The sequence below is a fragment of the Homo sapiens genome, chromosome 18 (genome assembly GCF_000001405.40).
Source record: "Homo sapiens chromosome 18, GRCh38.p14 Primary Assembly".
NCBI lineage: Eukaryota > Metazoa > Chordata > Mammalia > Primates > Hominidae > Homo > Homo sapiens.
The window spans coordinates 49118294-49130921 of record NC_000018.10 but is presented as its reverse complement, the minus strand read 5'-3'; the positions used below and the strand labels follow the sequence as shown (position 1 = coordinate 49130921).

General features: G+C 37.0%; 1 protein-coding gene across 40 annotated transcripts in view; it reads left to right on the top strand.

The window, feature by feature from the left end:
• DYM (dymeclin) overlaps nt 1-12628 on the top strand; it is a 424259-nt gene that overhangs the window by 329724 nt on the left and 81907 nt on the right. For 31 of the 40 annotated variants that reach the window (XM_047437553.1, XM_017025795.2, NM_001374429.1 and 28 more), the window contains one exon: nt 11996-12178. The exons of the other annotated variants lie outside the window; for them this stretch is intronic. In XM_047437553.1, the coding sequence (XP_047293509.1) occupies nt 11996-12178 (183 nt within the window). The remainder of the gene's footprint in view (nt 1-11995; nt 12179-12628) is intronic. 40 annotated transcript variants of the gene reach the window in all.

The following is a 12628-nucleotide window of genomic DNA, read 5'->3' as shown; positions in this document are numbered from 1 at the left end:
GGGATTCAAGGCTGACTCCAGGGCCTATGTTCCTACTATTTGTCTATGTCCTCCTCCCCACAAAACCCCCAACCCTATTCCAAGTGCTCCCATAGCGCCTTGTACTTTCACAGGGTGCCTCTCCCCTAAATGGTAACCTGTGTGAGGGCAGGAACATGTCTGGATCCCCACTCCAACCCAGCATCTGCCATAGCACCTACCAAGTCATACAGTCCATTGTATAATTCTAGGAAATCTATTGATGTACTCATAGTAAATATTCAAAGGAGAAAAAAGTCATGATCATCTTAATAGATTTGAAAAGGAATTAGGGAAAAGCCAATAGGCACTTCTCATATAAAAAAAAAATTGTTTTAGTAAAGTAGGAGAAAGGGGCTTCCTGACAAACAACTCAAAAGAATAATGCACAATAGACACAAACAGACAATTTACCAAAGATAAAATATGGACTTATGGACTCAGGTGTCTCATTTTCTACTGAATGCCGGACATTGTGCTAGGACATTCGAATCCGAGGTTAAAAGCATTTATGCCTGTAAATGGGGAGACCTTTGCTTTTAGACTATTAATGGGAGTTGGTTCCTTCTTGAGCAGAGTTGGGTTTTGTGTCTTCAGTGCACCACCAGCTTCAGATTCCCCTAGCAGCTCTTTATTTTATGCTTAAAGGGTGGAGTCTGCAGTGTCAGAGGGCTTTTTTCAGTGTTTCTTTACTACTCCGTTTTCAGCAGTCCCAGCAGTAGGGCTGGAGAAGAGACCTCTCTGTTGTCCTAGTCCAGCCTCAATCCTGGAGAGTCCCTGTGTGCACCTGGATCTCAGAAGTAGACCTTTCTCTGCATTCCTGTCCCTTCTCCAGTGGTAGCAGACCTGTGCTTGATATTGGTATGCGTATAGGATCCTGAACCCAACTTGGTTTCCTGCCTCAAATCCCAGAACTAGAAAGTTTTTTGCTTTTATTCCTCTATCATCAGGATTGGATCTTTATCTATGTCCTGGAGGTGAGAGAGCTTCCTACCTCTTGTTCAGGGGCAGACATGTTTCTACCATCCCCCTAGAGACAATGAAAATTTGCCTGTGCTACAGGCCAAGAGGGTTTGCTGCCCTGTAGCTTACGGCTTTTTCTTAGCATGAGAGAAGAGTCAGGGAAGAAAATGAGTCTTGGAGCCTGCCCCCAGCAGCAGTTATCACCTCCTGCAAGCTTGAGCAGTGGTAGAGGGGCCCTCTTCAGTCGCCTGCTCCATACCAGCCTTTCTCATGAGCACCTAGTAGAGGATAGTGAGAAAGAACTCTTAAGTGAACATAAAATCTCTTGCATCTGGGTTTCAGGTTTCAAGACTGACACATTAGCCTTTAATAATTCATCAACATTTTAGCTGCTTTCTTCTTTGCCACTTCTGTGGACACCACTTCTTCCTTGCATGCTCAGCCAAAGGTGAATGTTTGTGTTCCTTCTTTCCTTAGAAGAGGTACTTGACCCTCTTTGGAATTCATTTATCTGGTTGCCTTGTGAAATCATATTCTGATGAACTTAAGAAGATTTAAGATTTATTAAGTTACCTGGTTTTTTTCTCCTCACTAAGGAGGGTCGTTCTTTGTTACTTTGCACATCCTACACGGAAACTGAAGTCCAGGTTCCTTACAATGTGTACACACGTGACCTAGAGAGCCTATTTATCCTACATTTGAAGGAAATGAGGCCTGTGAAAGTGACGTGCCCTGTCCATGGCAAAACTGGGACTAGAACCCAATCTGGAGCTTCTCTCCATGGACTTGGAGCTACTCTGTTTTTCTTTTTTTTTTTTTTTAACTTGAGCTTATTACACCCCTATTTGTGACCCTTTACTGCCTTTTTTGGCATCACTGACTCTTCTTCCCAAGAAAGAATGAAAAAAGGGCATCAAGCGTCATAGGTCTCTGAAGTCAATGTGTAATCCATGACACACAGGTTTACAGATTATTTCCCTTCTGTTTATTAAGAGTATCAAAGATAAATAGCATATATTGAAAACAGAAGAATCAATAGGTTCCTTGGGTTGGAGAATGATTATTTTGAAACTTAACTTTGTGCATTTTTACTTACAAAGGTTTTTGGATTTTCTTCTTCTTCTAAAAACCAATAATGACTCTATTCATGGTGGCAGGGTAATCTAAATTCTGAATTTTCCTGAAGTTTGAAGTTACCCTGAATACGTTTCTATTTTAATTACATTTTTTGGTTATATTAATAAAATTTACTTTCCAAATTCAGTATTGTCTAAATACTTTATGAAGCTGAGACTTGAGACTAGGAAGGGGTTTTAAAAAATTATGTAAGTACTTATTTTTGCAAATAAAAACTGTAACTCAGGTGATGTAGCAAAGGTCACAGCTAATTATTGGCAGTGCTGGGACTCCTGGATCTCAGATTTGGGATGAGACAAGGCACTCAGTAGAAAGTCAAAGACTTTTTTTAAAAAAGACACATCTTCCTAAAGTATTGCTTTACTTAGATTTTACTTTTCGTAGGCTGTGGAAAGGGATTTCTTTTTCTAATAAAACACCAATATAGTCTAAGAAGAATAAAAATGAACACTAATACTTAAGGTAAAACATTGAACTTTTAAAAACAGAACACCAAGCTCTGGTACGCACTTGTCTCTTCTGCTGGCAGTGGGCCTGAGGAAGGGTGAGAAACTCTATTCTGCACCCCAAGTTCTGTCCACTGCAAGTGGCCTGCTAACATAATCTGATTGTCAGAGGCTGCACCTTTGCTGGATTTCAATCAGAACACTCTTTGTATGAGTTCTCTGGCTCTTCTCCGGATGTGGAAAAACGTGGCTTTAGCCAGTGTACCCTAGCAGCCACAGTTCTCTTGTCACTGCCTCCAGTGCCTTTGCAGTAGTGTATGTTAAAGAACGACTTTCCAGAGTGTTGTGGTTGAGGCTTGTGGGTCACATTCAAACCACATCCAAGGAGTGTAGAAAAAGACCACATGGTTTTACATCCCCGCATGAGACCAGTGGTGCGGTGACTGCTGTCTGCTCACCGCCTCCCCCTCCCACTGCTTTATTAAGGTTACCCATTGTCTTTTTAGGTCACAGGATTTATTCTTCAGCTCTGATTTTATGTGTAATATAAAACCTGTTCTTTCTATCAGAAGCTCAGTATTTTGGACAAATCCAGTTCTGGCTAGAAATAACATGGCCACAAAGCTTTCCAGTGTGTGCACCAGTGAATTAGCAACGTAAAGATAACAAGAGTCTGTCACCAAGTGATTGCCTTTGAAGGCCATTGGCGCATTAACTTTAAAGAGAACTTTGCTTGTGCATTTCCTCCCCCTACTCCCCACTTTTGGCAAAATCCCATTAATTTTGTTGAAGGTTTTATTTTCTGCTGAAAATGCAGGAAATTTAGACAACTCTCTTGGAATCCCCCCAAAACTAATACAAACAAGATACATATGCTTCTCTTAAGGAAACTAAAAATAAAGATTTGAAACTATTTAACTGTATAAATTCCCTCTTAAAAGGAAAAGGAAGTTTATAGAATGAGAGGCAACTCTGACTGCTGTTAACAAGGTAAAATATTCCCACAATGGCCAACTTCTCTATTTGATATGAAATTACTACTTCGCATAGAATTTGTTGAGCTTTCATTCCCAACATATTTGATGTATCAGAAACATCTGAAAATGGGATCATTTTCTTGTTTTTACGTTTGAAATTGTCTGCAGTAAAATAAGTATGCCCATTTTTTGGAGGAGAAAGCCTGTCTGATATGAGATCTGTTCCTGTTACAGAAGCTGTAAGGACTAAGAGGAAAATACCATGGCTGCTCCATTGATGAGCTAGCAGATTCTATTATGGCTGCTCCATTGAGGAGCCAGCAGATTCTACCTCTGACAAAGCTAATTTTGACACAATACTGAGGAAATACGGTTAGTTTTCAAAAGCGTGTCTTCCATAAAATCTTATTTCATAAATGCAAGTCAGTTTTTCTATACATTGACTACTTTTATAAATTAATAAGAGTGGGATTTTGGACTTACATTTAAAACTAAGAAACATGAGTTCTGAGTTCTTTGCACTTATAGTAATTTCAACTTTGGAAAGCCATTTATATTTTTTATGATAATGTCTAAAGCTAAAATGATTTTTCTCCTTCAAAATACTTCGAAAATATGTTTGTGGATGTTTTGGATAACACTCACATAGTGCTTACCATGTGTTACACACAGTTTTAAGGACTTTACAAATGCTGCCTCATTTAAAATTTATGAAAAAAAATCAAATAATATTAAATACCATTTGAAATTCTGACACCCAAATCATGAGATTAGATAACATTTTAGGTCTGTTTAAGTACTGAAATTTGGATGGTTTTGTAATTTTAAAGAAACTCTCCAAATTCATGATTTTTCTTCTTTTTACAAGTGGTGATTATAACCCAATAATGCTTTTAAAAAATGAAACATAAAGAATTTCATTTATTACCAAGGATGTCTGAACCAGACATCTAATCATAGTAGCAAGTTGAAGATTCAAGTAACTGGGAAATTATAGTTGTTGAGATAGTTTTCCTTAGAAATTAGAATTAGTCAAAAATTTGATACTTTGTTTTTAGTAAATCAGAATCTCAGGGTACATAATTTACCCCTCTGGCTCCTGATTATTTCATGATCTGCTTGGTGCCTTGAAGCTGTAGTTGATCTTCCAACACCAATGGGAGGATCCAGAGCATGGTTTCCAGGAAACGACTTACACGGTAGGAATTCTGGCTGTTCCCTAAAGGATAATTAAAGTAGTGGTTAGCAGAGAACTGTTGTCACTTAAAAATGGAAATGAATTAGTTGCAAGGATTACAAATGTATAAATACTTATGTATCTTAATGGAGATAATGGAATACACAGCATTACATCTATGATCAAAACAATCCAAATGCTAGACATCTAGCAAAGTGCAAATAAAATGATGAGAAGGCTTTAAGCCAGGTTGTATTGAGGGACACTTGAGGTTGCTGATGGGCTTGAGAAGAAGATGATAGCTATAACAGTGGAATAGACTGAAGACTGGCGAGTAGGAGTAGGGCGACAGACTTCTGCCAAACTGCAACAGCTTTCTGTACTGCATAGAAAGAATGAGGAGCCTTTCAAAAGTGTTCTGTATTCAAGGATGGGCTGGTTGACCACTTGGGATGAATGTTATAGAAGGGATTCTAGCATTAAGGGGAGTCACTTTAGTGTCTTTTGTATCTTCTGAGGGTGTTTTATAATTTTACGATTCTTTGACCAAATTCTAAGCTTTCTAATTGGATAGATAGTAACTGAATTAGTAGTAAATTAAAGAATTGCTGAATTGAATAAAGTAATGCACGTAGAAATTCTTGGTATAGTTTTTGGACTATAATAAAACCAATTAACGTAGACCTGACTTCAAGGAAACTTCATTTTATTTTTCTTTCTTGAAAGAGAGTATTTATGTCACTACTACCACTGACATCCAGCCAATGCAAGCTAGTAGGGCTGCCCTGGTTGTGCTCAACCTGCATCTACTAGGACTAGCAGTGCCAACTAGTTGTTAAATATTTGGAATTTCACGCCTGGGTATAACCAGAAAGGAAACTATTCTTTCTGTATAGGGATTCTTTATATTGAAATTTTAATAACTTTATTTATTTATTTACCTTTGAGACAGAGTCTCACTCTGTCACCCAGGCTGGAGTGCAGTAGGCAATCTCGGCTCACTGCAACCTCCGCCTGCTGGGTTCAAGTGATTCTCCTGCCTCAGCCTCCTGAGTAGCTGGGATTACAGGTGTGTGCCACCACACCCAGCTACTTTTTTTGTATATTTAGTAGAGGCGAGGTTTCACCATGTGAGCCAGGATGGTCTCGATCTCTTGACCTCGTGATCCGCCTGCCTCAGCCTCCCAAAGTGCTGGGATTACAGGCGTGAGCCACCGTGCCTGGCCTAATAACTTATTTAGAGTGTTACATATTAAAGTAAATATTGACAGAAAATTATAATTAGCCACTCTTCAAACTTATTTCTGAATTATGTTATTCATTTTTGTTTTTCAAAATAGTTGTACATTAAAATACAGAAGATTCTTTCTAGCATGGCAGTCCAGCCAAATACAATATCATGTAAAATGTGTTTGCTGTAACCTCCCACAGTATATTGTTAGCCAATTTGAGTAATGCTAGAAATGATATGTTCTTGTCATTTAATTTATAAATCTGCAACTGAATATAATCTATAAAAGATCACATTAGAATTTGTCACAGAAACAATGTAAGAGAAGTTTGGTAAAATACCCAATAACTCTAAAAATAAGAGGGTTAGTGTAACTCTTAAAGAGCCTTTAGTCAGAGTCATGCAAAGTAAAAACTAATGTAGAACATGCTTATTAATATAAAGTTTCTTTTTTTTTTTTTTTTGAGACAGGGTCTCACTCTGTTGCCCAGGCTGGAGTGCAGTGGCATGATCATAGCTCACTGCAGCCTCAAACCCCTGAACTCAGGCAATCCTCCTGCCTCAGCCTCTTGAGTAACTGGGACTACAGGCATGCACCACCACATCACTCCTAGCTAATTTTTAAGTTTTTTATAGAGATGGGGTCTTGCTCAGTTGCCCAAACTGCTTTTGACTCCTGGCCTCAAGTGATCCTCCTGCCTCAGTCTCCCCAAATGCTAGAATTACAGATGTGAGCTGCTGTACCCAGCCTCAAGTTTCTATTTTATACTTTCCCTGACTTGGGAATAAAATAAATAGTCAGTATTTTAGCCTGGGTTTAAAGTAGCAGGTGCCTAGTTAGGAGTTGGGTGTATCACCCTGTTTGTTTCAGCAAATTACTTATTTAAACATTGAGAACAAACTCTCAATGTGTTTGAAAGCAGAAATTGTAAGCTATCTGCAGATAATTTTTGAAGTATAAGTTTCATATATCAGCACTTATACTTAGCATAAGTGAGTGTATAAAATATACATGAACATAAAATTCTACAGAAAGCTAATATTTTGACTTGATTATATTTCTAAAGTAGTCATACCATTTCATTGGGTTGCCCTTAAATGACCGTGAGAGAGAATTCTGAAGCTTGAAGTCTCTTCCTTCTATACTAATTCAAATACCAAAATGAGAAGCAAATATAATTCAGAGGACTTCTGGTCAAGATTATCTTGTTAGTTCCAAATTTGAAGTCTCATCTCCTCCCCTTTGCTTCAAAAACATAACAATAATAGATGAATCATAAAAAGAAAACATTTTAAACACATAGCCAAATCCCAAAATGAGACAGCTATTTCTTGATGGAACAGAAGCAGAAAAAGCAGTCAGAACAGTGAGCCTGCTGAGCTGGAAGGAGGAGAAGTGGTTGGGAGCTCAGCTACTGTAGGCCAGACACTAGTGCCAGATTCCCTGCTAGAAATTAGGAGCTGGAATAGATGCTTTATTGAAATAAAGAGCCTGAATGAATGTGCTAATAATAACAGTTAAATTATATGTCTAGGGAGGCAAGAGTACACAGAAACAGCCTCACCATGGGATCTTGAAACAAACTGATACTGGTATGGTGATAAACCCGGCCAGTACTGTCTTTAGTATGATTGCAGGGCAGGAGCACCGAGGCACCAATTATGAGACCTGGTTTCAGTCTGAGACTCTAGGAAGCCACCACATAACCTATAGATTTGGAAGTATTAAGCCATATTAGATAAGCTTGCATAACAAAATACATGCGGAAATTAACAATAGAAAGATAGCAGTCATGATCATAATTAAGGTAAATTTATCCAAATAAAATTAAAAACTAATAGAATAATTTTGAAAATACTTTGAGTAGCCTCAAAGATAAATGAAGGAACAATATTCATAAAAAAGAATAAATAGGAAATAAAAACAGAAATAAGTAAGAACATGACTGTGAGAGAGAACTAGTTAACTAGAAAGCTTAAAATGAAAAATATAGTCATTAAAATTCAAAGCTCAGTAAGCAACAGTGATCTATACTGGACACTATCAAAGAGAGTTAATAAATTGGAAGATAATAATTAGAAAAGATTATCCAAGTTATCTTTATGGAAGAGACTAGGTTGTCAGGTCAAAATGCACTCCGAATATACTGAGCAAGATGAATAAAAATAAGCCAATACCTAGACTTGTGGTTGTGATGCTGAAGAATATAAAGCAGCGGTCCCCAGCCTTTTTGGCACCAGGGACCCGGTTTTGTGGAAGACAGTTTTTCCATGGACTGGTTGGTGGTTTCAGGATGATTCAAGTGCATAACATTTATTGTGCACTTTGTTTCTATTATTATTACATTGTAATATATAATGAAATAATTATACAACTCACTATAATGTAGAAACGAGGGGAGCACTGAGCTTGTTAATCTGTATTTGCAGCTGCTCCCCAGCATTAGCATCACCTCCTCAGTTCCACCTCAGATCATCAGGCATTAGATTCCTGTAAGGAGTGTGCAACCCAGATCCCTCACACGTGCAGTTCACAAGAGGGTTTGCACTCCCATTCAGGGAGATGGTCACTAAGGTAGTAACAGTGTATTTCTCTGTATCTTTCAGGTAGTGAGTTTTAAAAAGAACAAGTATACCTGCTGTTGGTGAGAAAATGGTAGAAGGCCTTCCTACATTGCTAGTTTAAGTGTATTGTCATCACCGTAAACAATCTGATGGCATCTATTAACTTTACAAATACAGCCTTTTCAGCAATCCCTCTCCTGGAATCTATCCCAGAGACGTAAAAGTACCCATATATAACACATCTACCAGGAGACTTATCAGCCTTATTCATAGAAACAAGGAAACTAGATATATATTGGATGTCCATCAGCAGAATGTTATGATATATTTTACATGTTTTACATATATATGCTATAAACCTATAATACATCTCTACTATTTTTACTTTATAAGTCAGCTCTCTTTTAGAATGATTAAAAATAAAAATATCTCGCTTCCCTTGTGGACATCTACATTTCTGTCTGGCTTCATATTTCTTCTGCCTGAAGAAATACCTTTAATATTTTGTATAGTGCAGGTAATAAATTATCTCAACTTATTTTTATCTGAAAAAGTCTTTTTTTGACCTTCATATTTGAAAGATATTTTTGCTGTGTATAGGATACTTGGCTGTTATTTCAGTGCTTTAATGATGCCACTACATTTAGGTTGGACTGCATCGGTTCTCCTAAGTCAGCTGTGATTCTTATCTTTGTGCCTCTGTATTTAATGTGTGTGGGTTTTTTTGTTTTGTTTTGGTTTTAGCTGTCCTCAAGATTTTCTCTTTGTCTTGGTCTTTAATAATTTGAATTTGATGGATCTAAGTACATGGGTTCTTTTGGTTTTTGTTTGGGGGTGGAGTGACCATGGGTATTTTCTGACGTGCTTGAATCTGTTTGATTTTTTTTCATTATTTATAGGAAATGCTCAGTCATTATCTCTTTGAATATCTCTTTTGTCCCATTCTTTCTCTCTTTTCCTTCTGGGAGTCAATTAGATGTATATTAATGCATTTCTTATTATTTTACAGCCCTTGTTGGATTCTCTGTCTTGTTTTCTTACTCTTTTTTTCTCTTTGTAGGGTTAGTTTGTGCAATTTCTGTTAACCTGCCTTCAAGTTTGCAATTCATTCCCAAGCTCTGTCCAGTCTATTATTGAAACCTATTTAAGGCATTCTTCACTGCAGTCACCACATTTTACAAAATTTCTAGCATTACCATTTGTCTCTTTCTTATAGTTTTTAACTCTGCTGAAATTCCCAATCAATTCAAACAAATTTTGTAGATCACAGTTCTTTTATATTCCCTCTTTGATATTTTCAGAATGTTTTATCTCTGTGTCATATTCTGCTGATGACTTTGTTCAACATGGATTCTTTTACTTACTTTTTTGTGTGTTTCATACATTTCAGTTGAATGTTAGACATTGTATTTAAGAAAACAGAGGCAGAGGCTGGGTTCAGTGGCTCACCTATAAAATCCCAGCACTTTGGGAGGCTTAGATGGGAGAATTGCTTGAATCCAGGAATTCAAGGCTGCAGTGAGCTAGGGTTGCACCACTGCACTCCAGCCTAGGTGACAGAGTGAGACCCTGAGTCAAAAAAAAATTAAGAAAGACAGAGGTAAATTGTATGGAAATAGGCATACCTTTTCATCTCTTAAGCAGGGGAAGTAAACTTTTTCTGTAAAGAGCCAGATAGTCAATATTTTTTATTTTGTAGGCCAGATAGTCTCTGAAGTCTACTTTACCTGATACTAATATAAGTCAGTCCTCCATATTTTGAGTGACACATGCACAGATTCAACCAACGCAGATTGAAAGTACATACAGTTGGCCCTTCATATCCTCAGATTCCACATCCACAGATTTAAAAAATCTGTGGATGGAGTGAGCAACTGTAGTATGCCACTTTGTATAAGGGACTTGAGCATCTGCAGATTTTTGGTATTTCCGAGGCAGGGGGATGTCCTGGAACCAATCCCTTAAAGGTATGGTATACTGTATAGCCACTCCTGCTTTCTTTTGACTTACGTTTGTGTAGGTATCTTTTTCCATCCTTTTACTTTCAACCTAACTATATTAGAAGTTTCTCATAGATAGCATATAGTTGGGTGGTGTGCTTTTAATCCACTCTGCCAATCCTCAGATTTTAACTATTGTGGACTATTTGCAATTAATGTAGTTATTAATGTGTAACTACCATTTTACTTTCTGTTTTTAGTTGGTTTCCCTTTTTCATTTGCATTTTTTCTGCCTTCCTGTATGGAAATTTTTTTAGAATCCCATTTTGATATATCTCTGGTTCTTTTTTTCTTTTTCTTTTCTTTTTTTTCTTTTTTTTTTTTTTTTTGAGACAGGATCTGGCTCTGTCACTCAGGCTGGAATGCAGTGGAGCAATCTCAACTCACTGCAACCTCCACCTCTCAGGCTTAAGCCATCCTCCCCCCTCAGCCTCCCAAGTAGCTGAGGCTACAGATGTGTGCCACCACGCCTGGCTAATTTTTGTGTACATGGGGTTTCGTCATGTTGCCCAGGCTGGTCTCGAACTCCTGAGCTCAAGTGATCTGCCCACCTTGGCCTCCCAAAGTGCTGGGATTACAGGCATGAGCCACCACAGCCAGCCTTGATATATCTATAGTATTTTTTTTTCCTCAGGCAGATTTGCTCTAGACATTACATTATATGTACATAGCTTATCGCAGTCTAGTAGTGTTGATATTTTACCAGTTCAAGTGAGTTGTAGAAACCTTTGTCCTTTTAAATCCCTTAACCACCTTTGTTGATAATTGTTTTAGATATTCCTTTACATACATTGAGAACCACATCAATGTTATAATTTTTGCTTCAACTGTCAAATATATTATGGAAAACTGAAGAGGAGAGGAAAGTCTGTTGTATATACCCATGTGCTTGCTCTTTCCATTGCCCTTTTCTTCCAAGAGGTTTGCTGATTGCTTACTTTGAGCTTTACTGTTTGGCAACTATTTTATGTTCAGATTCCCAAAGACTATTCATTATGAGGAAACAGTGACAAAATCATAGTCTGTTTATCTGAAATATAAAGACTGAAATGACAGTGTAGAGAAATGAAGTCATCTTCTGAATTAGGCATTTTTCTTGGAATGGGTACAACCCTACCACTACTCTACATCATGGAAGTCTTAACGATTTAGGGTAATACGATAATGAGAATACCAATATGGATCTATTAAATGAGGAGCTGAGTAAGCTCCAAATTTCCCTCTAGATTGGTAAGTCTATAATTTATTATATGAAATTCCTAATTATTACCATACTAAGTTCAAAAGATTTTAACCCAAATCCTTTAGTAACTGATAAACCTCATTCTTAAGATTCTTGACAGAAATAATCTTGATGAGCTTCTTCTCTTCATGATCTTTCCAATGCTGTTATAATTTTGAGGGAATTACTCTTATTTTCATTAATTCTGTTGCAAGGAGGAAAAGACTGACTCTGTGTTGGGGTTTCTTTTCTCTATAAGGCACAAGACCTAAATGTCATTGAAGAAGTGATTCGAATGATGTTAGAGATCATCAACTCCTGCCTGACAAATTCCCTTCACCACAACCCAAACTTGGTATACGCCCTGCTTTACAAACGCGATCTCTTTGAACAATTTCGAACTCATCCTTCATTTCAGGATATAATGCAAAATATTGATCTGGTGAGTGTAAATGAAGACATTTATTATGATTCTTTTTTAAGTATTAAAGCAGAGAATGTTTAATAAGCCTTGGTAAGAACTATAATAGTAAGAGTTTCTTCTTTCAACATTAACTGTATTTGCAGTCTATTTTACTATAATAGTTGTGGTAATCTGTGTGTGTGTTGTATATACACACACATACATATTTAATACAATTGAAGTCATACTTCATACAGTTTTTTATTCTGACTTTTTTACTTTACACTTAGACCATGAGCATTTTTCTGTGGTATTATCAATTCTTTGAAAGTCTCACATTTTAATTTCTATCTAGCCCATGTTTGTGTCCTAAAATATATATAACTATTATCCCATTTTTGCTCATTTATTTCCAGTATTTTATATCAATTCATAATGAATGAAAAGTTTATAAATAAGTCTTATCTCAAATTTTAAAATTATATTTTT